Source organism: Homo sapiens, chromosome 21, assembly GCF_000001405.40.
Source record: "Homo sapiens chromosome 21, GRCh38.p14 Primary Assembly".
NCBI lineage: Eukaryota > Metazoa > Chordata > Mammalia > Primates > Hominidae > Homo > Homo sapiens.
The window spans coordinates 34,369,232-34,394,219 of NC_000021.9; the positions used below are offsets into that span (position 1 = coordinate 34,369,232).

General features: G+C 47.0%; 2 protein-coding genes and 1 long non-coding RNA gene across 5 annotated transcripts in view, besides 7 other annotated features; 2 read left to right on the forward strand and 1 right to left on the reverse strand.

The window, feature by feature from the left end:
- KCNE2 (potassium voltage-gated channel subfamily E regulatory subunit 2) overlaps positions 1 to 2,150 on the forward strand; it is a 7,376-nt gene extending 5,226 nt beyond the window's left edge. The window contains exon 2 of the mRNA NM_172201.2: positions 1,236 to 2,150. Within this exon, the coding sequence (NP_751951.1) occupies positions 1,248 to 1,619 (372 nt within the window). The 5' untranslated portion in view covers positions 1,236 to 1,247 and the 3' untranslated portion in view covers positions 1,620 to 2,150. The remainder of the gene's footprint in view (positions 1 to 1,235) is intronic.
- Positions 1 to 6,131, reverse strand: part of LOC105372791 (uncharacterized) — a 22,357-nt gene extending 16,226 nt beyond the window's left edge. Inside the window, exons 1-2 of one of the 2 annotated variants that reach the window (NR_188571.1) lie at positions 6,006 to 6,131; positions 1,204 to 1,929 (exon numbers count right to left, since the gene is read on the reverse strand). This is a non-coding gene — a long non-coding RNA (uncharacterized LOC105372791). Of the gene's footprint in view, positions 1 to 939; positions 1,930 to 6,005 lie in introns of those variants that run through there. The other variant, NR_188572.1, reaches the window with a different exon arrangement.
- Positions 6,039 to 6,333: an enhancer, noted in NCBI's record as "tiled region #13847; HepG2 Activating DNase unmatched - State 1:Tss, and K562 Activating DNase unmatched - State 1:Tss". NCBI's record gives its function as "activates a minimal TATA promoter and a strong SV40 promoter by Sharpr-MPRA in HepG2 and K562 cells {active_cell/tissue: HepG2 | K562}" and the evidence as "EXISTENCE:reporter gene assay evidence [ECO:0000049][PMID:27701403]".
- Positions 6,276 to 19,920, forward strand: SMIM11 (small integral membrane protein 11). Of its 2 annotated transcripts, none has more exons than NM_001376899.1 (4): positions 6,276 to 6,948; positions 10,197 to 10,285; positions 16,247 to 16,413; positions 19,398 to 19,920. In NM_001376899.1, exons 2-3 carry the CDS (start codon positions 10,274 to 10,276, stop codon positions 16,409 to 16,411), a joined length of 177 nt encoding a protein of 58 aa, NP_001363828.1. In that variant the 5' UTR covers positions 6,276 to 6,948; positions 10,197 to 10,273; the 3' UTR covers positions 16,412 to 16,413; positions 19,398 to 19,920. The 2 variants fall into 2 exon arrangements, with proteins under 2 accessions (NP_001363828.1, NP_478062.1); NM_058182.5 differs by having other exon boundaries at positions 6,276 to 6,336.
- Positions 14,344 to 14,851: an enhancer, noted in NCBI's record as "H3K27ac-H3K4me1 hESC enhancer chr21:35755873-35756380 (GRCh37/hg19 assembly coordinates)". NCBI's record gives its function as "activates a minimal SCP1, AML or CMV promoter by ChIP-STARR-seq in primed H9 embryonic stem cells {active_cell/tissue: H9 hESC(primed)}" and the evidence as "EXISTENCE:reporter gene assay evidence [ECO:0000049][PMID:30033119]".
- Positions 14,782 to 14,831: a silencer, noted in NCBI's record as "silent region_13212". NCBI's record gives its function as "represses an Ori minimal core promoter by ATAC-STARR-seq in GM12878 lymphoblastoid cells {active_cell/tissue: GM12878}" and the evidence as "EXISTENCE:reporter gene assay evidence [ECO:0000049][PMID:35858748]".
- Positions 14,852 to 15,357: an enhancer, noted in NCBI's record as "H3K27ac-H3K4me1 hESC enhancer chr21:35756381-35756886 (GRCh37/hg19 assembly coordinates)". NCBI's record gives its function as "activates a minimal SCP1, AML or CMV promoter by ChIP-STARR-seq in primed H9 embryonic stem cells {active_cell/tissue: H9 hESC(primed)}" and the evidence as "EXISTENCE:reporter gene assay evidence [ECO:0000049][PMID:30033119]".
- Positions 14,960 to 15,254: an enhancer, noted in NCBI's record as "tiled region #8334; HepG2 Activating non-DNase unmatched - State 8:EnhW, and K562 Activating non-DNase unmatched - State 25:Art". NCBI's record gives its function as "activates a minimal TATA promoter and a strong SV40 promoter by Sharpr-MPRA in HepG2 and K562 cells {active_cell/tissue: HepG2 | K562}" and the evidence as "EXISTENCE:reporter gene assay evidence [ECO:0000049][PMID:27701403]".
- Positions 15,443 to 15,965: an enhancer, noted in NCBI's record as "H3K27ac-H3K4me1 hESC enhancer chr21:35756972-35757494 (GRCh37/hg19 assembly coordinates)". NCBI's record gives its function as "activates a minimal SCP1, AML or CMV promoter by ChIP-STARR-seq in naive H9 embryonic stem cells {active_cell/tissue: H9 hESC(naive)}" and the evidence as "EXISTENCE:reporter gene assay evidence [ECO:0000049][PMID:30033119]".
- Positions 15,966 to 16,486: an enhancer, noted in NCBI's record as "H3K27ac-H3K4me1 hESC enhancer chr21:35757495-35758015 (GRCh37/hg19 assembly coordinates)". NCBI's record gives its function as "activates a minimal SCP1, AML or CMV promoter by ChIP-STARR-seq in naive H9 embryonic stem cells {active_cell/tissue: H9 hESC(naive)}" and the evidence as "EXISTENCE:reporter gene assay evidence [ECO:0000049][PMID:30033119]".
- Positions 19,921 to 24,988: the final 5,068 nt, after the last annotated feature.

A 24,988-nucleotide genomic window follows, 5' to 3' on the forward strand; every position in this document is an offset into this window, starting at 1 on the left:
ATTGCACTATAATTTCCCTCTTCAAAAAGGCACATTGGCTGTGCACGGTGGCTGACACATGTAATCCCAGCACTTTGGGAGGCTGAGGCGGGTGGATCACCTGAAGTCAGGAGTTCGAGACCAGCCTGGCCAATGTGTTGAAACCCCGTCTCTACCAAAAATACAAAAGTTAGCCAGGCGTGGTGACATGTGCCTGTAATCCCAGCTACTTGGGAGGCTGAGGCATGAGAATTGCTTGAACTGGGGAGGCGGAGGTTTCAGTGAGCAGAGATCGTGCCACCCCACTCCAGCCTGGACGACAGAGCAAGATTCCGTCTTAAGAAAAAAAAAAGGGCACATTGATGGCTATTCAAGGCAGAGAGGGGCACATATAACCCCAAAGAGATGGCTCTGGGGAGGGTTGTGTTGTATTACATTGTTGGCATTGTATTATCCAGGTGAGAGATGCTGGAGGCTGGGCGGTGCCAGTGGTGATGAAAAGGAGAGATGGATTTGAAACATAGGAATAATCTCTCAGATTGTTTCTTGGCATCACTTACCTAAAATGCTTCTTTCAAATATAGATGTACACACCCCTCCCTTTAGGATACTTGGGACAATGTGCCACTTAGACATAGGGGATGGAACAAATTGGAGAGTCTGTCAATGCCCCCTGCAATCTTTTCTCTTGATGTTATCTCATAATGCCCCACAATTCTCTAAAAACAGAGAACATAAATGAGTCATTGGTCCATTCCACTGACGTTTGTTGAGTGCTTGTTATGAATGTGGCATTATTCTAGCTCTTGTAAGGTTACCAATTTTTTAAAAAACAAAAGTAATGCAAGACTGCTGATGAAAATTTGGAATATGAGAAAAGCATAAAGAAGAAAATACATATCTTTAAGCACACCACCCACTGTTAACATTCTGATCTATGTACTTCTAATATTTTCTCCATTTTCATATGTACACATACATTTATTTACATGCATATATAAATATCAAAGTGTATATATATAATTTTCTCTGCCATTTAAATTTTTACTGTGTAACAATCATGGATTGTAAAAAAAGTGAATAAAATGTACGCAGTCAGTTTAAAGACTAACAAAATATGCATTAAATCACCAGCCAGGTTAAGAAGAAATACTATTACTTATACCCTGGCATCTCCCTCCCACCTTTACATAGCCAAATCCAGAAAAGATCCGTTTTCCTAACCTTGTTCGCCTATTTTATTATTTAAATTGCAGCAGGAGGGAAGCATGTCTACTTTATCCAATTTCACACAGACGCTGGAAGACGTCTTCCGAAGGATTTTTATTACTTATATGGACAATTGGCGCCAGAACACAACAGCTGAGCAAGAGGCCCTCCAAGCCAAAGTTGATGCTGAGAACTTCTACTATGTCATCCTGTACCTCATGGTGATGATTGGAATGTTCTCTTTCATCATCGTGGCCATCCTGGTGAGCACTGTGAAATCCAAGAGACGGGAACACTCCAATGACCCCTACCACCAGTACATTGTAGAGGACTGGCAGGAAAAGTACAAGAGCCAAATCTTGAATCTAGAAGAATCGAAGGCCACCATCCATGAGAACATTGGTGCGGCTGGGTTCAAAATGTCCCCCTGATAAGGGAGAAAGGCACCAAGCTAACATCTGACGTCCAGACATGAAGAGATGCCAGTGCCACGAGGCAAATCCAAATTGTCTTTGCTTAGAAGAAAGTGAGTTCCTTGCTCTCTGTTGAGAATTTTCATGGAGATTATGTGGTTGGCCAATAAAGATAGATGACATTTCAATCTCAGTGATTTATGCTTGCTTGTTGGAGCAATATTTTGTGCTGAAGACCTCTTTTACTTTCCGGGCAAGTGAATGTCATTTTAATCAATATCAATGATGAAAATAAAGCCAAATTTGAAGTAAAGTGTCTGGGCAGTGGCTGTGGGGATAGAAAGGAGAGATTTACAAATCATTGAATCTTCTTTCTCATGAAACATCATTTGTGTGTGACAAATTCAATTTATAAATAACCCAGATGTATTATGTAGAAGCTGAGGCTCAAAAGCTATCACTTGCTTACCAGACGGACATAGGAGCATTTATCTGTAATATTAATTCATGAGTGTGGAGTCTGAAGAGATGAATAAACAAACCATAAGATTACTTTACATTTATTGTTTTCCTGGCCTTTAACCTATTTAGAAGTCTTAAGACAGAACAAACATTTTTCTTTTTCTTTTTCTTTTTCTTTTGAGACATGGTCTCTCTCTGTCACCCAGCCTGGAGTGCAGTGGTGCAATCTCAGCTCACTGCAGCCTCAACCTCCCGGGCTCAAGTGATCCTCCCACCTCAGCCTCCCTAGTAGCTGGGACTACAGGCACGTGTGCCACCACACCCAGCTAACTTTTGTATTTTTTTGTAAAAACAGGGTCTCACTATGTTGCCCAGGCTGGTCTCGAACCTGAACAAACATTTCAAAGGACAAATAATCCATACCAGAGAAGTAGAGTATTTAAGAAGTACCCAGTATAACAAAACATATTTTAAAACTAACATTTAAAGTTTTGCAGAAAACTAATCTTAAAAAGTTCTCATTATTTAAGAAAAAAAAATAAAAAGTTATAATGTCGCTTTAAAAATGTATTCTTTTAACTTGATTTAGTTTTCCTCTATTTATAATTAGTTGTTAGCATTTATGTTTAAGAAACTAAAGGATACAGAAAGGGTCTAAATTGCTGATGCCCTCTGAAGACCTAGACAGGAACTACTTAATATCTTGCACCATGTGGTGCAGGATATCATAGAATGTCAGGGCTGATCATTCTACTGTTGGCAGAGACCACTTCACTTACAGATGAGAGAAGGGCAGTCCACTGAGAGGAGACAATTTCATTCACTAATTCGGTCAGGCAACATTGACCTACTTGGTCCACTGGCCTAGACCCCAAGAGTATAAAGATGAGCAAGGCCGGGCACAGTGGCTCACACCTGTAATCCTAGCACTTTGAGAGGCTGAGGTGGGCAGATCACCTGAGGTCAGGAGTTCAAGACCAGCCTGGCCAACATGGTGAAACTCCATCTCTACTAAAAATATAAAAATTAACCGCGTGTGGTGGCAGGAGCCTGTAATCCCAGCTACTGGGGAGACTGAGGCATGAGAATCACTTGAACCCGGGAGGGGGAGATTGCAGTGAGCCGAGATTGCATCATTGCACTCCAGCCTGAGTGACAGATGCTAAACATCATAGTACAATGTGACAAGGTCCTAACAGAGATCAATGCAAAGGGGACACAGCCAGCCAGCACAAGGACAGGAGGGCATGCCTAATGCAGGTCAAGGTCTTCTCTCTCAGAGCAGCTGAGAGTAGCAGGTCAATGGCAGCAGAGAGATGTGGGGCCTCAGCATCCCATGGCTTCATGCCTCCTAGTTTACCCTGTTCTCCTCCCCATGCCCCAGCCAAGGCACAGCAACGATGGGCAAGGCCTCAAGCCTCAGGGTGCTAGGACAAAATTTAGAAAAAGAGGCTCTTCTTCAGAGAATGCTTGTAGAACTCGTTATTCCAATCACAAGGTTTGTCTCTTTAAAATTACAGAGTGAGATATGTACAAGGTATCTACTTCCTAATAACAGATTTGCAATTATGCCAACTGAAGCATTCAGTACAGTTAGAGAAAACCATCCATATTCCAAGAGCAGATGTAGGAAGAGTGGCTTCCCTCCTCAGATCAGAAACCCAGAAATGTTGTCCCACCCAGAAACATCCATCTCAGAGAGGCCAGAGCAGCCATCAGGCTTTAAATCCCAGCCCTCTGCTCTGCATCCAGACAGAAATCCGAGGTTTCCATCAGGTGACAAAGACCCTCTCCTTAACCAAACTGTCAAGCTCCTCTGAGCCCTCTTCTTGACTAGAGCCCAACCATGGCCCTATAAAAACTGCAGACTCTCAGCACACATGATTTCGCCCACCTTTGCACACTAAGAGACATAAACGCTAGCATAGGTTCTAAGAGCTGAAAGCTAAAGCGCCTGCCCGAGAAAAGTGAATGCGGCCTGAAGAATTTACTAATTGTTCCAACCAAAACCTGGTGACAGGCAGATAGTCCCCTGATCCCTCTCTTAAGGCAGTTACTTTAGAAAGTTTGCAATTATAAATCCTTTCTCTCTCCCTTGAGATGTATATCTTCTACCATTCAGAACTGTATTGTCTCTCTGAAATGCAAACATTCAAACTCTCCTTGCTGGATGGGTGCCTTGCTCTAACTTACTGCTCCCCATCACAGACAGAAGTTTGTTTCTACTCTAGATAGGAGCCAATTAACAAACCCAGATCACACTGACCAACCCCTTCCCACTTTCTATGCATTTCCACTTCCTGGACTCTGCTCAAGCCCCATCCCCACTCAGTTACCTTTGCACAAAGGGAAGTTGAGCTGGGCCTCTTCCCTCTGGCAATAGCTAATGATTTCAGTCAATCCTTACTGCTTTAACTGGCTTTCTTTACCTTTGACACAGGTAAACACATGGAGAGCAAAATCGAGGTTTTTCTGGCCGGGTGCAGTAGCTCATGCCTGTAATCCCAGCACTTTGGGAGGCCAAGGTGGGAGGATCACTTGAGCTCAGGAGTTTGAGACCAGCCTGGCCAACATGATGAAACCCCATCTCTACTAAAAATACAAAAATTAGCTGGGTGTGGTGGTGGGTGCCTGTAATCCCAGCTACTTGGGAGGCTGAGGCAGGAGAATTGCTTGAACCTGGGAGGCAGAGGTTGCAGTGAACCGAGATTGCATCACTGCACTCTAGCCTTGGCGACTGAGTGAGACTCCATCTCAAAAAAAAAAAAAAAAAAAATCGAGGTTTTCCTAATTAAGTACATTTTATTATCATCACTGAAAGTACAGGTGGTAACATAGAGGGTTATCAGCCAACTTCACTTTTGGGGAATGGGAGAAATGCTGACTCTCTCCAAGCATGTTGGGTGTCTAGTGGTTGAAGCCATTTGCCAAGATTGTCACCCTAGGATCCACTCCCACCAAACCTGGGCTTTTCACTTTCAACCCAGCAACTGAAAATGCCAGTTCAAACAACTTGCTGTTTTTTTCTACCCCACTTGCTTTTAGAGTTCCTTCTGCCTGTTTTATTGGCTCCATATAACCTGAATACCACTTATTTCTTAAAGCATAGCTCAGATGCTATTTTAAAAGGAGCCCAGGATAGTGGCTGATTTGATAGAATCTATACCCAGATTACCCAGGGTCAAGTCCCAGCTCTGGTACCTGCGGCCTTTAAAACCACGAAAAAATTACTTTAATCTCTGTGTCTCCATTTCCTCATTTGTGAAATGGTTATCATTATAGCACGTCCCTTACAGCCTTGTTATGAGACTTAGGCAATAGCCACTAGTGCTTAGAACAAAGCTATTTTTGTAACTTTCTCCAGGAACACTTCCCTTAACAGAACCAACCCCTCCACCCCTCAGTTTGTTCTTCCCTCCACACCCTCTAACATTCTAACATAACCACAAAGAGTCCTGATGGGATTTGGAGTTACACTGCCTGGGTTCGAATCTCAATTCCGCCACTGCCATTCGCGCGTTTTCTATTGCCAGCCACCTTACTCTCCCCTGGCCTCAGTTTCCTCATCCTTAGAAGGGGAGCAGAGCACATGGTGGTAACTCCCTGCACATTCCTCTCTTTCCTTGTATTGGGTGCCCAGTTTGTGCCCTCACATGGCGCTAGCACTGAGTGGGCTCAAACTCTGTACGCGTTTACTAAGCATATTGACTGAAGAAATCTGGAAACCTAGTACCGCGGCACCATATCGTTACCCCAAAGGAAAATGCATGCACGCTGTCAGAGATGACGAACACTGCGTCTGGAAACTTCTTAAGGGCACCCACGTGTCCTCAGCTGCAGACAGCAGCGAGGAGACACCCAGGGAATTCGAGACAGCGGAAGGCGGAAGGGTCCCGCAACAACCCACCCTCCAGCTCAGGTGAGTTCAGAGTGAGAACGCACCGCCAGGCTTGGACAAAGGCACCCGGCCTACACCCCAGCGGCTCCCCGCCGGGGCCTACGTGGACTTCAGCCTCCAGCCACAGGGACAAGAGCTGCTGGCCAGGGCTGCCCGCCTGGGCTCACTGCGCCTGCGCAGTGAGCAGCGCGCCCCAGGTCTTCTGCCCGGGCCCACTGCGCCTGCGCACGGAGTAGTGCACTCTCGTCGGCGGCACCGGCCCACTGCGCCTGAGCACGTAGCGGTGCATTTCGGGACCTGTAGTTTTCCCCGGCAGGACGGTAGAAGTCGTGGTTTGTGCGCGGCCAGGCGCTGGAGCCTCCGCTGCCGGGAGCAGTAAGTGTGTGACGTCGGGGTAGAAGGGAGTGACCCAAATTCCAAAAGCTCTTTGGGATGCTGCGATGTCGCGGCCGGCCCCGCGCTCGGGTTTTCCCTCCTAGACAAAAGTCTGCCGGCTCCCGGTCGCGCCGGGTCGGGGATCCGGAAGGTGAAGGCCGCCAGGCCCCACCTGCGGGGCGCCCCTGCTGGACCTGGCCGTCGGGCGCCGTCAACCCGTTGAGCAGCGTGTTCCGGCTGGCACGTGGCCCGGGCGGGGCCCAGGATTGGTTCAAGCCTACGGTGTTGGTCCCCGGAGAGTCTAGGGAGACAAGCAATCCCCTGGAATGGTGGGGGAAGCGATGACAGCCCCTGGTCCTCATCCGCAGCTCTGGGGGAAGTCGGGGGGTGGGGAGGGCGGGTGTTGCTCCCTGAGTGTTGGGGGAAGGGTATGGGGAGAGGACCCTGAACTAGCCCCCAGGTTACCCAGGAGGAGCTGAGGCCCAGAGAGGTTCAGCGACTCGCCCAGGGTTGCACAGCGAGCACAGGCACCGACGTCGCCCTCCGAGGCCTGGGCTTCCAGCAGGGAGAGACCCGGACACCTGTCATCGCTTCTCGGTGGATCCCTGAAATGTTGAGTTGTGGAGTCTGGGCAGCTGAGATCGGGCAGGGCTGGTTTCTTGTAGGCCCAGGCTTCCGTGTAGAGGGCCAAGTGATGCCCAAGGTTCACCTGGCAGCCCCCTCTCTGGACCTACCCCTCCTTATGATTGGGTGAAGGGTTGGGTGAAAAGGGTAGAGGCCGGGAATGAGAACAGCTTCAGAAAGCTCAGACAAAGGGCGCAGCATGATTCGTGGCTGGAAGGAGACAGCAAGCGATAGACTGATCCTTGAATTTGTTAGTGTGCCAAGAAGAAAAAGTATTAATAGATTGTGGACGACACATTATCCATATTGCTTTAGTTGGTCTAACCAAAATAAGCGAATAGCTTTTTTGTTTCTAAGAGAAACCTGACAAAGGAAGACAGGGTATTTTTGCGGTGAAGGAAATAGAAATATTTGGAGTTGTATCTAAGCCACTTGTTACTTTTGTGTTTTAAGCTAAGATCATGGATAGGTCCAGGGAAAGTTAAAAATTTCCCGCACTTCTTAGATTTTATGCCCCTCAAAAACATCCCCACCTTGTTGGCTTTTGCAGTTCAACCTTCAGATACCAGCTCCCTCGTTTCTAATATTGCATTAGGTGTACATATGGCAGCAGAGCAAATAGCTTACTGATACTTTTAGCTTTTTTCTTCTCATTTGCAAAAGACTCTATGAAAATGGCTGGCTTGGGCATGTAATTGAAGGGAGGTGGGGAAAAGTGGTAATTCAGAGGCAGTGGGTGGGAATGAGCAAAGCATGTCAGTGTGGTTCACCCTCTTGACTCCCACCTCACCACAGCCCTTCTGCTACAATTGCAGATTGACTCTAAATATGTTTCTTTCCTAAAGAGCTTGAATTTTATCACTCCAGGTATGAAGTTGAGGCAGCTGCCAGTATATTTTGGCAGTCAGGTTCTGTGATATCAGAGAGGATGGTGAATTGTGAATTCCAGAGTTGCAGAATTGTTCTTTAGATTCTGATTTTTTAAATGACAGCACTTTGGTTTGGAGGGTTAATGACTTACCCCAGGTCATATGCCACACCATGGGTAACACCAAGAGTAGAGCTCAGATCTCCAGTTGTCCTGGTCCTCAGGCTACTGATCTTTATTCCCTGCCCTGCTATCTTGGAATGACTGCATTTTGCCCTGGATGTCGCTAGCCTGTATCCTTCAGGTTGGCATGTCCAGTCATGGAAGGAGAGAGATTTAACATAACAACAATGGCTGACATTCAGTGCTTTCTGTGTGCTGGCCATGGTGCTTAGTGTTTACAGTCTAATCTGCAAGAGAATTTACAGATGGGCAAGTTGAGGCTGAGAGAGGCCAAGTAACTTGTCCAAGGTCACACTGCTAGTGAACATAGCACATGTTTTCCAGAGGGCCAGACCACTGGATGTTTTTTCATTCATTTCCTCCTGTAGGATCGTTGGACCTATTTCTCGTTCTTGACTTTGGGAATCAATATTCTACGTACATCAATTCACTGGGTATGCAGTTTTGCCTCTGAAAATTTTGAGGGAACAGCCAGACTCATCTACTGTATTTGTATACAACTCAATTAAAGCAGGAATTGTAAAAATAAAATTTGTAAGATCTTTAACATTTTAATATACAACATTAGCTAATCACTAAGATTACTAGAGATACTCAAAGTGAAAATTGTAGCAACAGGTTATAACATGTTAGGAGCATATTTCTTTAGGGCAGTCAGAATCTGCTGCTTCTTAAAGACAAGTGGGCCATTTACACATGAAGGTAACAAGCACATTCAGCCACCATCATTATAGTTAAACAGATCTATGATTTAAATTCCTATCGCTACCTTATCTGACTTTGAAAAAGTCATGGGGAAAACTTGGCTACCTTGTGCCAACTGCTAGCTTGTTTTCAAGATATTATAATCTTGAATAGATGGAGGATGAACTTTTTATACTTAGATAGCTTTGTAATTGAAAGTTTGTATAAAAACATCTTGCCTGAAGTTCATCTTATCCCCATTCTATCTAAAGGCCTTTGAAATTTTCAGCCACTTTTCTTAATTATGACGGTAAGTACATTTCAAGAGAAGTGTTTCCCTGACTTTTGAATGCAAAGCTCTCTGCCTGTGTCAGGATGGTGCCGAGGTTAAAGCCCTGGAGCCAGACTGGATGGGTTCGAATCCCAGGCCCACCTGCGAGACCCTCGATGTGTTACTTAAATTTTATTTCCTCCTCTCTAAAGTGGAGGCAGTAAGCTGTTTTATGGGGTAGTTGTGAGGGCTAAATGTCTTAACTCATCTAAGCACTTTAGCCACTTTTTTCCATCTGACACAAAAAAGTTAAGCTATGATTATTGTGCTATAAAGCATTGGATTTCAGAAGAAGTAGGGGCACTAAACACCATCTGCTTGACACCTTTCTTCACTTACAGATGGGACTGAAGCTCTAGAGGGAAGTCACTTACCAGAGGGTGTAGGTTCTTCATCCAGAGCTGAAGTCTTCTTGGGGGTATGTGTCATATTCTAAGAGTAGGGACCTACAAGGCCTTGGAGCGAATCCCAAGGCTCGGGCTGCCAGCCCTGCCTTCTCATTTCCATATGCCATGGTGTGGCATATGACCTGGGGTAATATCCTCTGAACCAAAGTGCTGTCATTTAAAAAATCAGAATCTAAAGAACAATTCTGCAACTCTGGAATTCACAATTCACCATCCTCTCTGATATCACTTCCTTCCCTACCTTCTACTAGGTCTCCCTCAAGCTTTAGAGAAAATTCTGCCTCTGAATTATTGCATCTGACAATTTTTCTGCCCTGTCACTTATTCCCTTGCTCCCAGATAATCTTCGAAAAACCAAGATGAGTTTAATTAACACTCAGAGGACTTGACAAAGACACTCACTCCCAAACCAGCTTGCGTTTAGGTCTGGAGGCAGGTGGAGGGACAGATTTTAGACTTGGGCCCTTAGGTTCACAGATGAATGGGATGGGAGCCCATGTCCCCTCAGAAGCGGCGCTGTGCTGCTGGCGGCTACAGACAGCTGGTGAGGAGAGCTTTCTGCTTAGCAAGGGCCAGGCCCGTCTGGGCCCTCGCCCAGCCCATCCACTTCCCACCAGTCTCTCAATCGCCTTGTCAGGACACAGCCCACCTCTCTGTGGAGCTCACTTTCTGTTCACATTCCCTCTCTCCATCAAAGAGACATCTTTCTAAGGTGGTCTGCCCTAGGAACTCCAAATTGACCTGCTTCTTTCTTCCTGCCCAGATCAGACCTTCCAGCTGCCTCTCATGTACTTGTCTGTTGGGGGCTTGTGTTGATCAGGAGTGAATTCACAGTCTACCATGAATTGGAAGGTGAGTATCGTTTTAAATATTTATGGCTTGGGGTTTTTTCTTCCTCCTGATTGTGAAAATTCAGAATAACAGTTCTACACCAGTAGCTTGATTAAAAAGAAAAAGTAGGTGAAAGCATAATATTTATGTTTCATTTTAAGTTAAAACATAAATGTACATTTATTCGCTGGACTTCTGGAAGAAGGCCAGGCCTTTTCTTCGAGTGTGCATTCACTAACTTCAAATCTTCCTCACTTTTCTTACAAAAACTATACCTTTAAAGCTTTACCTGCAATTTTGCATTGTGCTTTCTTTTTTTACACATTTTTTTTGTAGAGATAGGGCTCCACTATGTTGCCCAGGCTGGTCTTGAACTCCTGGGCTCAAGCAGTCCTCCTGCCTGAGCCTCCCAAAGTGTCGGGATTACAAGAATGAACCACTGTGCTCAGGCCGTTTTGGTTCCTTTAAAGTAGATGCAGTGGACTGAATGTTTGTGTTTCCCCAAGTTCATATGTTGCAACCGTAGTGCCCAGTGTGATGATATTTGGAGTTGGAGCTTGTAAGAGGTAATTAGGTGATGAGGCTGGAGCCCTAATGTTTGGAATAGTGAGCTTATTAAAAGGGCTCCAGGGAGCTCTCTTACCCTCTTTCTGCCATGTTGGGGGTACAACAAGAAGCCAGCCGTCAGCAGCCTGGAAGAGGACTCCGCTAGAACCCCCCTGTACTGCGCCCTGATCCTCAGGCTTTCAGCCTTTCGAACTGTGACAAGTACCTCTTTAATAAGTCACCCAGTCTGTGGTCCTTTGTTCTAGGAGCTGAATTGACTAAGACAGTGGATTAAGATCTTATGAGCAGTGCATACACAAAATCTTTCCAGTGTTTCATACTCTTTCCTAATCTTTTACAGTTGACTTGCCAACAGCATTTTTTTTCCAACGCAAACTTGAGTCTTTCAAAGTATTCAACTTAGTTTTCATAAAAACTTTTGCTTTACACAGTCATATTTCACAAGCGTAATGTTTAAATAAGTTATGGAACATAGTATCAAGTACAACTTAAATAAACTGCTTGGCGAGTAAACACACCTGACCCCTGTGAAACATTAGATTCAGCTGGTGGGAGCAGAAGTTCAAGGGCAGCCAGAGAGTAGGTCAGCAATCAGGTTCCACCGAGGGAAAGGAGAATGTCATCTTAAGTCCCGGAAGTCAATAAGGTGAGGTGGAGGTTGTTTAAGAGAGCAGCCACTAAAATATATTATAGTCACTTTGCAAAGTCTAATATCAAGCAAAAATCATACATTGTCTCACCATCTAGAAATGGCTACTATTAACAATCTCGGTATATTCATCTTTTTCTGTATATATGTGTGGCGTGTTTTCATGCATAGGATCTTATTTTACGTGTTTTTTCAATTATTATAAGCATTTTCTTCAAAACATCCAGTGGTTTTCTATTGCAAGGAGAAACTGGAAAGGTCTGGAAGCAGGATCAGGGAGCCAGGAAGGTAGCTTTCCCATCTTCCCCAGCTGTGTGGGGTGAGGGGCTCGGCAGGCCCTGCAGGAGGGCTGAGGGCCCAGGAACTTGTGTAAGTTAAAGATGGCAGAGTGAGTGAGCTGTGAAGGGTGGGAAGATATAGAACAGTTTGTTTAGCATGCCTTGAGGATCAGAGCTCACAGTGGAAAGGTTGGGAAGGAAAGAAGAGGCAGTGAGAGGATGGAGAGGGGAAGGAGCGGAAAGCAGTGTGGGGTGAGGTTTAGGGAGGTCATTCGCCCACTGCAGTGGCTAAGTCAGTAGAGGAGAGAGGCAGTAACTGGTACTAAGGGCCAGGGTTCAAAGCATTAAACCTCATGCCTCAAGGTGGTGTTTCTCACTCCTGAGCACTAGTTAAGGCAAGGATTTCGAGCCCCACTCCCAGAGTTTCTGATTGGGTAGATCTGGCTGGGGCCTGAGAATTTGCACTTCTTATAAGTTCCAGGCGGTGCTGGTGCACACTGGTCGAAGGCAATGCGTGGGAAGTTTTCCTCTTTAATTGTAGAGTGACACCAACCCATGTGACCACTCGGGCCAGTCTTGCTTGTGACAGTTTTTTCTGCCATCAGGAACAAAGTCTGCCCAAACCTTCCCAGCTTCTGCACCAGGGAAGTGGCTACCAGGGAGCAGCTTCGTGTTTAAACACAGCCCCATCTCGTGTAGTGTTAGAAAGGAATGGCCGCAGGCCGGGCGTGGTGGCTCATGCCTGTAATCCCAGCACTTTGGGAGGCCGAGGCAGGCAGATCACTTTGAGCTCAGGAGTTTGAGACCAGCCTGGACAATGTGGCGAAACCCCGTCTCTACAAAAAAATACAAAGATTAGCTGGGCATGGAGATGCGTACGTGTAGTCCCAGCTACTCGGGAAGCTGAGGCTGGAGAATTGCTTGAGCCTGGGAAGTGGAGGTTGCAGTGAGCCGAGATCATGCCCCTGCACTCCAGCCTGGGCGACAGAGTGAGACCCTGTCTCAAAAGAAAAAAAAAAGAAAGACAGTCATGGCCCTGATTGCAGAGAGCTGCAGAAGGTGGAAGGTTCAGTAGCCCCCAGTGCGTCTGGTGGCCTTCCCCCTCTGGCTCAGTGGGCCATGGCCGGCAGCGACAGTCAACAGTGCTACCTGTGCGTTAGCAACAAGTATGGCCTCATTATTTAAAAACTTAGTTATTCCCATTTCACAGATATTGGGGTTTTGTTTTTAAAAATTGATGTAGATCTAGGCCAGGCATGGTGGCTCACCCCTGTAATCCTAGCACTTTGGGAGGCTGAGGTGGGCAGATCACATGAACCCAGGAGTTCAGCACCAGCCTGGGCAACATAGTGGGACCCCAGCTCTACAAAAAATCAGAAAAAATTAGCTGGGCGTGGTGTCATGTGTCTGTAGTCCCGTCTACTCGGGAGGCTGAGGTGGGAGGATTGCTTGAGCCTGGGAGGTCAGGGCTGTGGGAAGCCGTGATCATGCCACTGTACTCCAGCCTAGTTGGAGTCTCAAAAAAATATTCATATAGATCCAGTCCACCCTGGCAGCATTCATTTTCCTCCCTGAAGGTCTGTATGTTTCAAGAGATGTAAGGGGTTTGTTAAAAGGAAATTGGAGGAAGGGGTTCATACCACTGAAGGTTAGTGCCTAAGAGAGGGGCAGGAAGGGGGCCCTGGAGCTCTTCGCTTTACCCTGTGAATGTTCTTGACCTCTGCTGCCCTTGTGCTGCGTCCTTCTCAGTCCACACTTCTGCCTCTTGCCGTGCGTCTCCACTGCCTGTAAAACAAAGTGAACACTGAAGCCTCCCACTAGGGTCCATTGGCTGATGCGTTTCCATTTCCATGGGTTTTCTAACTTCTGGATGAGAGAGTACATTCCTGCAATTGCTAAAGCTAAGTTTCCTATCTGGATTGTAGACAGCTATGGGCAGTAACATGGGCTTTGTTATATTAGTAATAGGGCCCCGGCCAGGTGCAGTGGCTCACACCTGTAATCCTAGCACTTTGGGAGGCCGAGGTGGGCGGATCACGAGGTCGGGAGTTGGAGACCAGCCGGCCAACATGGTGAAACCCTGTCTCTACTAAAAATACAAAAAATTAGCTGGGCATGATGCCGCATGCCTGTAATCCCAGCTACTTGGGAGGCTGAGGCAGGAGAATTGCTTGAACCCAGGAGGTGGAGGTTGCAGTGAGCTGAGATGGTGCCATTGCACTCCAGCCTGGGTGACAGAGCAAGACTCTGTCTCGAGAAAAATAATAATAATAATAGGGCCCCATAGGTTTATTCAGAGAGACTGAGAAAGCTGGAAGAGATTAGCTTTTCCCAGTGTGAGTCATTGCCTCAGGTAGCCTGGAAAATCCTAGCAAACAAAAAGAAGTTTATACAACAACATTCTTTTCATAGCTGGTTTGTATGCATGGCGTCAAACCTTCACCTCTAAAATGTGAACCTTCAAGAAAACAGGATTTCAGGGTTTACTGGAGGGAGGGGATTAGCCTAGGTCTGAGGGAAGAAGAACCTGGAAATGAAGTCAGTGTTTAAAGCTCCTTATATTTACCAGAGTAAAAAGTTGAAAAGTTTCACTTTTGGAACTTTTTAGTCTTTTGTACTGATGCCAGAGTGATCTTTCTGAAGTGTATGTGTTGTGCTTATTCTTTACTGTTAAAACGATATCATGGTTGAAAACTATTAGCTAATTACTGAGTGTTCTTGTGTTCTTACTGTTTTAGTAAAATTAAAACGATTTAAGTATTTGCGTCCCTGCCTCCTCCCATGATTTTCATTGTATTTCTATCATATCATGCTATATCCTTCTGCAAATATCCATACATAACCAGTTAAATGATTTCAGAGGTAGCGAGTCTAGTTGCCTCTGGAAAATTCAGTAGCCAAGCCATAGTGTATTTGCATATTGTAAATGTGAAGTGGATGGGTGTGAGGAATGAATCATATATAGTACAGGACAGCGTGATGCTACAGAGTTGGGCTTTGGAGCATTTGGAGCTGGGTCAGCCCTGCCTCGCTGACTGCTGGCCTCCCCGCCTCTGCATTTTCTCGGCTCCACCGCAGTCAGGGCGAGCCATCTGCTCATGGAGGTGGCTAAGGGCAGAAGGGAAAGCCGCATAAGGCACTTTGCATGCCGTGAGTTCCCAGTCTACAGCAGCTGATGCTACAGCTTCTAAGCGTGAAATCCACATCTAGTTCTGAGTCATAAAGAGTTTCGATACAATCATAGGAACATTCATCTACATACACTGTGATTTCATGAATTTCAGTTTGTTGAAAATCAGGCATCAGTGGAAGGGAGACTGGCCCCGGGGTTAGAATGTCCTTCCAACTGGCTCCTCATGAGGGAGCTGTGGGACCTTCAACCTCTCAACCTCCAGGAGCTCTTCTTTCCTTGCTCATATAACCAGGGGGTTGAGTAGGTCCCCTTGAAAGTTATTTCCAGCCCCCCGGTTCTGTGAGCATATTGTACACACTAACTAGGTTCAGATCAACTTCGGTTAGACTATTAGAGGGAGGTGCACATGTATCCCCCACAGTGGAATCTCATTGGTATTTCATATAATAAGTGATTGACAGAAATAAGGATTTCATTGGGATAAAATCCTACCTGGTCCTCTAAAATAATGATTGCTCAACCAGAGCATACCTTTTCACTATTTGGGAGGGAATTTTTAATCACACAAAAAGCACATACATATCATTCAGGTCATGCTAACCATGTGTATGGAACTAATATTGCTTTGAAGTACTATTTGCAATATATAGAATTTCACACAAAAAACCTACTAGTGCAAAGAGTGAGTAATTCAAATGCATAGTGTTTCCCTAGACTTTATTTTAGTGAATGGGGTTGCAAGAGCAGTTAGTAAGTAGCCATGTTTTAATGTTTTGAGTTCTGTCGTGTTTTATTTTACCAGCAAGTGCCAGTGCTAGTGAGTCTCTAGAAACAAGAGAAAATCCCAGAGTACTAAAGCTGCAGTTTCCAGAAGCAAGGTCTGATTCACCCTTACTTTGTAGATGAAGGGGCAGGAGCTCAGAAAGAAAGGAGCTCATTGCCTGACCCAGGTCACACGGTCAGTCGGTGGTAAAGTAGAGCTCTGACCCAGGCCTCCGGGCTCCAGCTCCTTTCACTGGATCTGGCTGCTGCCTCAGAAGCAAGGGCCTGGGTGATCAGCAGGTTGCACGGTTGAGCTGTGAGAGACCAGAGTCCCCACGCCTGTGGATGACCGGTGGTCCCCTCCATGAAGCCAGCCGCAAGCAAGCAGCAAAGAGCAGAGCTGTAACTTGACTGTTGGCCCCATGGGGATAGAGACCTTTTCTGCTTGGTCTCCAGTGTAGCTCCAGCCCCCTATCCTCGTGCCTGTTGCAGAATAGGTGCTAAGTAAATATTTGTTGACTGAAGGATCATAAAAGAAACCTCCCATATCGGTGATGGAACATTTAGTTAGCATGGCTTCTTTCTTCTTGAAGGTTCTTGAGCACGTGCCCCTGCTGCTGTATATCTTGGCAGCAAAAACATTAATTCTCTGCCTGACATTTGCTGGGGTGAAAATGTATCAAAGAAAAAGGTTGGAGGCAAAACAACAAAAACTGGAGGCTGAAAGGAAGAAGCAATCAGAGAAAAAAGATAACTGAAGGTGAGTCCACAGTACCCAACCTTGCAAATGGGAGCTGGCCAGTGGGTTGGGGTGACCAATCAATGAACAAGAGAGGTCTGAGACCTCCCTGTCCGTCGGGTCTGAAGGGCTGCGTGGGGGCATGTGGCCTCACCTGTTCTCTAAGGTAGAACTGCTCCATAAAGGGCCAGGTGTGCAGATCCTGGTCCTGGGATGTGAGTGCTGCTGAGCCAAGGTGCACGGAGCATTAGTTCATCCTTCTTGAAACCTGCGGTGGCAATGGTTCTTGACAGGTATTGGGTTAAGAATTGAGGACTCAGTGACAGCTGTGGACCTTCTTCCCAGAGAAGCACACATACTGAAACCATCTGCATTTGTGTGTGGGGAGAAGTTTGCAGATGTGGGGAGTCACAGGTCATTTGAAATTCCAAGATTAAGAAACCCTGTTACCTTTAAGATAAAGTCTGACTCCATGGTATGACAAATAAATCCCTTCCCAGTCTGGTCTTAACCCAGACCTCATTTGCCACATGTGCCCACTCCCCATCCCCCTGCAGGCCATTCCTCAGCCACCATGGCCTTTGGCCTTGCTTATTAGGTTCTTCCCAAGGACCTCCTCACCAGGCCTGAGGGTACACTCATCGTTGTCACCCAGTGCCTATCACAGTGCACACTGGTGGGCTTAGAACACACTTGGGGAGTTACAATACATCAAGGCACCAGAAAGTTCCTGTTAAGCCCCTGTTACAGATTTAACACATGACAATTCACAGTTACCTTGATTCCAGTGTGTTGATGCAGTTTCTTCACTTTGCAGGTTGAGTTCTGTACTTTAAAAATCAGGGGATTCAGCCAGGTGTGGTGACTCATGCCTGTAATCCCAGTGCTTTGGGAGGCAAAGGTGGGAGGATCACTTGAGCCAATGAGTTCAAGACCAGCCTGGGCAACATAGTGAAACCCTGTCTCTACAAAAATTAAAAAAAAAAAACAAAAAAAACCAAAAAAAAAAACCAAAAAAAAACTTAGCTGCACACTTACTGGGTGTGTAGTCCCAACTACTCAGGAGACTGAGGTGGAGGATTGCTTGAGGCCCAGAAGTTCAAGGCTGCAGTGAGGCATGATCACACCACTGCACTCCAGCCTGAGTGACAGAGCGAGACCCTGTCTAAAAAAAAAAAAGGATTCAAATATGGTGGCGGTGGGGTTCTAGATCTGTGGTTCCCAAACCTAGCTAATGATCAGAATTGCCCAGGTGTTTGTTTAAATGAAGATTCCCAGCTTCAGCCCAGAGAGATTCCATAATGGCTCTGGTTAGGTTTGGGTGTTGGTTTTTGTTGTTGTTTTTAAGATAGGGGATCCTACTCTGTCATCTAGGCTAGAGCGGTGCAGTGGCACAATCTCGGCTCACTGCAGCCTCAGCCTCCTGGGCTCAAGCAGTCCTCCCAACTCAGCCTCCCGAGTAGGTAGGACTACAGGAGCACGCCACCACACCCGGCTAGGTTTTTAAAACAATTTTTAGTAGAGAAGGGGTCTTGCTGTGTTGCCCAGGCTGGTCTTGTACTCCTGGGCTCAAGCGATACTTTCGCCTCAGCCTCCTGAAGTGCTGAGGTTACAGGTGTGAGCCACTGTGCCCAGCCTCTGTTCTTTTGAAAACCCATTAGATAATCCTTAGGTTGTCTTCTCAGCAACAGGTCATTGTAGGAACCACTGGGCTAGGTGGCCTCCCAAACCCAGCCCACTCTGAGATTCCATGCTGAATTCCCTTGCAGTGCCGTCAGGCTTGTTGAGGCTAAAGACCTACTGATGAGGAATAGTAGCAACACCTACTAAGTGGTTATTCTGTGCTGGGGACTTTGCTAAGCATTCATGCACAACTGTGTTATTCAGCCCTGATGACTCTGTGAGGCATGTTCAGATTGAAAGAATGGCTCTCTCTACATGGTGAAGAACAGAGTCAGAAATTGATCCCAGGTCAAATGCATTCGATCAGCATGGCCAAGCCCAAGCTGTGCTACCTTCCTGAATACAGGCAAGTGAGCTCGTAGGGATGCTTCACTCTGTTACTCACCACTTCCGGCAGCTGCCCACTCGCTGGTCCCCAGTGAACTGTAGGCTTTTGCTAGATAGAAGAAGTTACTTTCTTTCTTTCTTTCTTTCTTTCTTTTTTTTTTTTTTTTTAAGGTGTTTGATTGACTGAAATTTAGGAGTAGGCATTACGATGGGGAGGAGAGAAATTAAAAAGGGTGAGGGAAGGCAGTTTAAATTAAAATGTTGCTGATTGAATTTATATTCCTGACAATCCCATTTTGTGTGCTAAACTGATCAAAGGAAGAAAAGATGAGATGGAAGATCATAAAGGCTTTGTTCCTCCCACAAACATCAGCAGAGACCTGCATTTAAGTCAGGCCTGGATGGCTTAGAAGCAACTCAGGGAGTTGGTCTTCCTCTCTAGGCTGGCAGCTTCTTAAAGACTAGAGACTTGCTTCAAACAAAAAGCGTTTTCAGGCCGGGCGCGGTGGCTCACGCCTGTAATCCCAGCACTTTGGGAGGCCGAGGCGGGTGGATCACTTGAGGTCAGGAGTTCAAGGCCAGCCTGGCCAACATGGCGAAACCCCATCTCTACTAAAAATACAAAACTTAGCTGGGCGTGGTGGCACGTGCCAGTAATCCCAGTTACTTGGGAGGCCGAGGCACGAGAATCACTTGAACCTGGGAAACAGAGGTTGCAGTGAGCTGAGATTGTGCCACTGCACTCCAGGCTGGGTGACAGAGTGAGACTGTTTCAAAAAATAAATAAATAAATAAAAGGGGGGTGGGGTGTTTCAGATGGAAGGGAAACTGATGCTAAAAATACATTGGTTAATAAATAGACTTGAGTGATAGACTTGAGTGGTGTCCGCTTGTTAAGTTTAAATGGCTGAGCATACGTCTTTATGCTGAGCAGTAAACATCGGGTATACTCTTATCAAACATTTCCTACTCATCCCTTTGGTATTCCCTTCTAGATTCTGCCATGTAAATGTCAGCTTGAGTGGACTCCAGCTGAGAAGAAAGAGAAGAAAGACTTAATTATTGAATAATTTGTCAGAGGATAAACTCCCAACCTAGACCTTTCACTTAAAATAGTGTGAATTTGTATATGTTTTTAAAAGAACCAGTACTGGCCGGGTATGCTGGCTTTTACCTGAAATCCCAGCACTTTGGGAGGCCGAGGCGAGTGGATCGCCTGAGATCGGGAGTTTGAGACCAGCCTGGCCAACATGGTAAAATCCTGTCTCTACTAAAAATATAAAAATTAGCCAGGTGTAGTGGCGCGCGTCTGTAATCCCAGCTACTCGGGAGGCTGAGGCAGGAGAATTGCTTGAATCCGGGAGGTGGAGGTTGCAGTGAGCCTAGGTCGTGCCACTGCCCTCCAGCCTGGGTGACAGAGCGACTGCGTCTCCAAAAAAAAAAAGGTAAAATTAAAATTAAAAAAAATAATAATAACCAGTATTTTGTTTACTAAAATAAAATGCCTTTGTAAAAAAAGGAGTCGTGGCCTTTGGAATAAGTCAAATTGTGTATCTCTTTCTCTTTCTCTTACACAGCACCCTCTACCCCGTGTTGTAAAGCGGGGGGTTTTGTAAACTTACACCTCCCCCACCATCTCAAGCTGGGGGGTCCCAGGTGAGAGGCTTCCATAGAGGACAAGGTGGTGCAGAAACATCTGCTGTGGGAGTGGGGTCCCCAGCACTGGGTGCTTCGGCCAGCTACCCCCGACCCCAGGCCCCCTCATAGGCTGCCCTCCCATACCCTCCTTTCTCGTCTTTTCCTCCTACAGGTGCTACACCCCTGTGAGAGTGTTTTGGAGTGTTTTCATTGTTAGGGTGGAGGGAGGCTGTGTGTGTCCAGGAAAGGTGACTCCTGTGTTAACCATGAGGGTCCTCGCAGGGAGGAATCGTTGGGAGCCCTAGGGTGTGTTTTGTCCTCTCCTCACCTGTTTGCTCCTTGGGATTTGCTGATGAGAAATGAAGGGTAGGGCACCCTAGGAGCCACTGGAACCAAGGGCAGGGAGGATGGGAAGATGTTTTACTCAGCACCTAACACACGCAGATCCCTGTGACAAGAGCTCATGCTCTCCCACTTCTTCGCAAGACCCCAGAGTGGATGGGGAGTGAGGTGGCAGCAGCTGGCACTGGAAGCAGTGCGGAGTGTTTGGTCTGGTTGCTGATGGCTGCATGGGAAACTTGCAGGAGTGTGTGTTAGTAAACGTCTCCCCGTCCTGGCCCAGTTTGTGTCGAACATGCGTTTTCCATGTGGGGAGTCAGGGGAGTTCCATCTTAAATTGCACTGTGCTTGCTGGATGCTCTTCAGGACAATTTAGGAAGCAGGAAAGAATTTACAAAGTTCTGAGGACAGACAGACCCTGCTCCTACAAGCTGCAGTGCTCACCATAGTCAAAGTGGACTTTCACGTAAGCCCAGACCTCATTCTCTCTGAAGGAGGCCGCTCCAGCCTTTGCCAGGAGCCCTGGTGACTTTATTCTGCCTAATCCTGCTGCGGCCTGGGGTCCTGTTAGAACGTGAATGGAAGACCACAGCAGAGGTGGGATGCCCTTGGATTTCTGCCATCCCCACGCTTTCGTGACATGCTCAGATGGGGCCTAGAACTGACCCTGGGCCGTGGCCTACCATCCTCCCTTTGTCAGGGCCTCCTTGCACCCTGGCAGGTTACCCCACCCACCCTGGCCCATGTTCCTGCCCCAGGGGCCTGGCCTCTCTGCTGCCCACCCTGCAGGTGTAGGGTATCACCTGCTCCTGCCTTGCCTGGCATCAGACCTGCTACCTTGGCACCACTTCCTCCCTCATGCCCACCCGCCTGTGTGCCTCATAAGTCCAAGGCGGGGGATCTGCTGACCAGTAGACACTCATGTGCTAAACACAAGCGCTTTTCTAGGCTTTGGGATTTAAAGCTACACTTTGGAATTTGTGGAAGATCTGGCCATCTTGGAAAATTAGGTAGAAGGTGACATAAGGACTGGACTAAACCACTGATCATCCCAACAGTGCCCGTGGCTTTTCTGTTTTTTGTTTTTGCTTTTGTTTTTTTAGAGATGAGGACGTGCTGTGTCCCTCAGGTTGGAGTGCAATGGTACAATCATAGCTTATTGCAGCCTTGAACTCCTGGGCTCAAGCGATCTTCCCACCTCAGCCTCCCGAGTAGCTGGGACTAGGCCCTGCTAATTTATTTATCTTTTGTTTAGAGACAAGGGTCACGCTGTACTGCCCAGGCTGGGTGTAGGTTTTTTCTGAAGAGCATTTGGGAGTTTTGTTTTTGCTTGGTTACTTTTCCTATGCACCCTTCTACCACTAGGGGGAGATGATTAATCACTAATTGAAGGGATTTTGTTCGTTTTTTATGTTTTGGGTTTTTTTGTTTGTTTGTTTGTTTGTTTCAATAAAGAAAGAGTTTAATTGCAGTAAGGCAGGCCGCGCAGGAGATGGCGTTCTTATTCAAATCGGTCTCTCTGAAGGCTCAGAGGTTAGGGGTTTTCAAGGCGGAGTTCTTGCTATCATTCCACTCCTTAGGTACATGAAGTTGGTAGATGTGTAGTTTGATGTTAAATTATTGGGTGGATGCATGCACCGCTGGTTGTAGAGACTGGTAAAGCCCACTAGCAGGACCCCACCTGGACCAAAGCAATCCCTCAACCCGCTGGACCATGACCGAGAACAAACACAAAGGACCTGAAATGCGTTGTGAAGGCCAGAAGCCGACATCCACATTCTCCACCCACGGAGAGCCCCAGAGTCCCTCATGCACATCCTGCTTGATCTATTACACACATTCACACATTCGCAACACATTTGTTTGGTTTTCAAGCTTACAACATATTAGAAACAGAAAGGAAGAAAGGCTGTCAGCAGCAGAAATACCTTTGAGCAAGAGGGACGGTCTTTGAGAAGCAGACTTGAGAACTCACCGTGTGCTCTTCATGCGCCAGACACTGCGGCAGCCACAGCGTCCCACATGGGATGCCACACGTGATGATGTTATGTTCATGGTGATGACCTCAGGCGTGAAGAAGAGGTTCAGCCGTTTCACACAGTCTGTTTAACAAGCACATACATAACACAGACATACGTGAGGAATCTCAGAAACCAAATAATTCAAACAAAGAGTCTGGGATTCTTTCAAAAGCGTTGCCTCTGCCCAAGCTTTCTTCAAATTCTGTCTATAGGGAAACGTAGCTGTCAATGTCTCATTCCCGAAGACTTCCAGATGCCTGGATCTTTAGAGTTCTCCACCTCACCCCGAGTTGATTACACAAATGTTCCTGGGGCTTTGCTTAGTGCCCTGCTCTGTGCCAGGCCCCACAGGCAGAGATGGCAGGGACCCAGGCCTGACGTTGGAGAGCTCCTGACCCACTGCCGGAAACACACGCACCATCACACCATGAGGGAGCTCCCCCATGCAGATCTCATCTGTGTCAGAGTGAAGCCAGAGGATGGACGGTGGAGAGTCTAGAAGGAGAAGAGAAAGGAGGATGAGTTCTCAAACATGAGCAAGCAGGAGAGGCCATTTAAAATGCACACTCTGGCCTGGTGCAGTGGCTCATGCCTGTAATCCTAGTGGAGGCCGAGACAGGAGGATCACCTGAGGTCAGGAGTTTGAGACCAGCCTGGCCAACATGGTGAAACCCTGTCTCTACTAAAAGAAAACCAAAAATTAGCTGGGCGTGGTGGTGCATGCCTGTAATCCCAGCTCCTCCGGAGGCTGAGGCAGGAGAATTGCTTGAACCCGGGAGGTGGAGGTTGCAGTGAGCAGACATCGCACCACTGCACTCCAGCCTGGGTAAAAGAGTGAGACTCTGTGTCAAAAAAAAAAAAAAAACCAACCTAAAAAATAAAAATAAAAATAAAATGCAGACTCCTGGGCTGGATTCCAGGTCCACTGCATCAGAACCTGCAGGAGAAGGACCAGGAATTTGTGATACGAACATCCCCAGGCAATTCTTGACCCTCCTTTTGAGACCTACACTGTAGAAGATGGGCAGAGGGAGAGGCAGCAGGAGCCCAACCTGGGAAGGAGCCATCGGGAAAGGTGGGAGGAGGGGCAGGAGACAGCGCACGCGAGGCAGCAAATCCTTCAGCCCTTACTCCCCAAGAGCTCACAGCTGCCTCCACAGAGGGTAACGGTATCATTATCCCCTTTTCGCAGATAAGGAAACTGAGGCAGAGAGGCCCTGCCTAAGGTCCCCCAGCTGGTGGGAGGCAGAGACAGGAACCAGCCCTCATGGTCTCACTGTGAGACTGGACTTTTCACAGCTGTGCGGTCGAGTCTGAGCCAAGTAAAGTAAAGCGAGTTTTTGTACTTCGAAGTCTGGGACATAAAATCTTCAAGACGTCAGCATCAGTGACACGATGGTGACAGAGGCCAGCATTGCTTGTTGTATCTTTTTCCATCCTGTTCCTATCTACACTTCCATTCTTCTGTTCATTCTGCTTGCATTTCCCACCCAGATGGCTTTCACGGACACACACACACACACACACACCGCACACACACACATCACTCACAGACGCACCCTGTGCCCAATGTCAAAAGACAAAACTGCAACACGTTTAGTCATAGACCTCATTGTCTTTTATTCTTGATTCATGAATGGGGCAGCCTCCCTTCTATAAAACAGAGCAAGAGCTCCCACCGGACAATTGCAGAACAGTGGGCTTTGTAAGGTGGGGACAAGGAAACAGAACAATAGAAAAGAAGCTGATGGGTTAACATCAGGTTACTTCAGGACCTCCTAATCACGCTGACTCAGGTAGACCAGAAGCTCCTGTTTTCAGGAAAAACTAATCTGTTTGGGGACCTACCTGCTTCCTTATTAAAGTTTTGGGTTGATTATATGGCTCTTAGCATGACTGACTCCATTTTGGTTTGGTTTGATCTGGTCTGTTGGGGCCTAGTGCAGGATCTCAGTCCAAAACAATAGCCTCCCATAATTTTTGTTTAATGCTGGGTCAGCGGTAGGCTTGGTCCACTTGCGCTTCTGCCTGGGTGGGCCTTCCTCTTTTCCTCCTTTTCTCTCTGTGGTGAAATCCCCATTCTTCTTTCTGTCCTCCACTTCAGTTTCACCTCTTCCTGCAACCCTGCCCACAGCTCTTCAGCGCCAGGCCCTGGACTCAGCTCTCACTACGCAAACCTCCAACATCTCACTGAGTGGGAGGTGGCCCCCACCTCCACACCAGACCTGGACCTTGAGGGTCCAGGCTTGTTTTCCTTGGTACTCCTGGCCCTGACGCACCCAGCCAGGCACACAGAAGGTGCTCCAGTATTTGATGAGTGAATGACTGGTAGCACCAGAGGAAAGGGAGCAGGGAGTATGGCCAAGACCATTAGCTGCCTTCCTCAGTGTTCCTTCTCCCCTTCTCCCTAGTAATAGAACCCTGACTTTTACCTGGCCGTATGGTCACTCAAAATAAAGGACTACATTTCCCACCTTCTCTCGCAACCAAGCCTGGCCAATCAGGTTTAAGTGGAAGTGTAGTGTGGGACTTCCTGGAAGGATCTTTAAAAGGGACAGGATGGGCCCCTCTTCCTCCCTTTCTCCTTT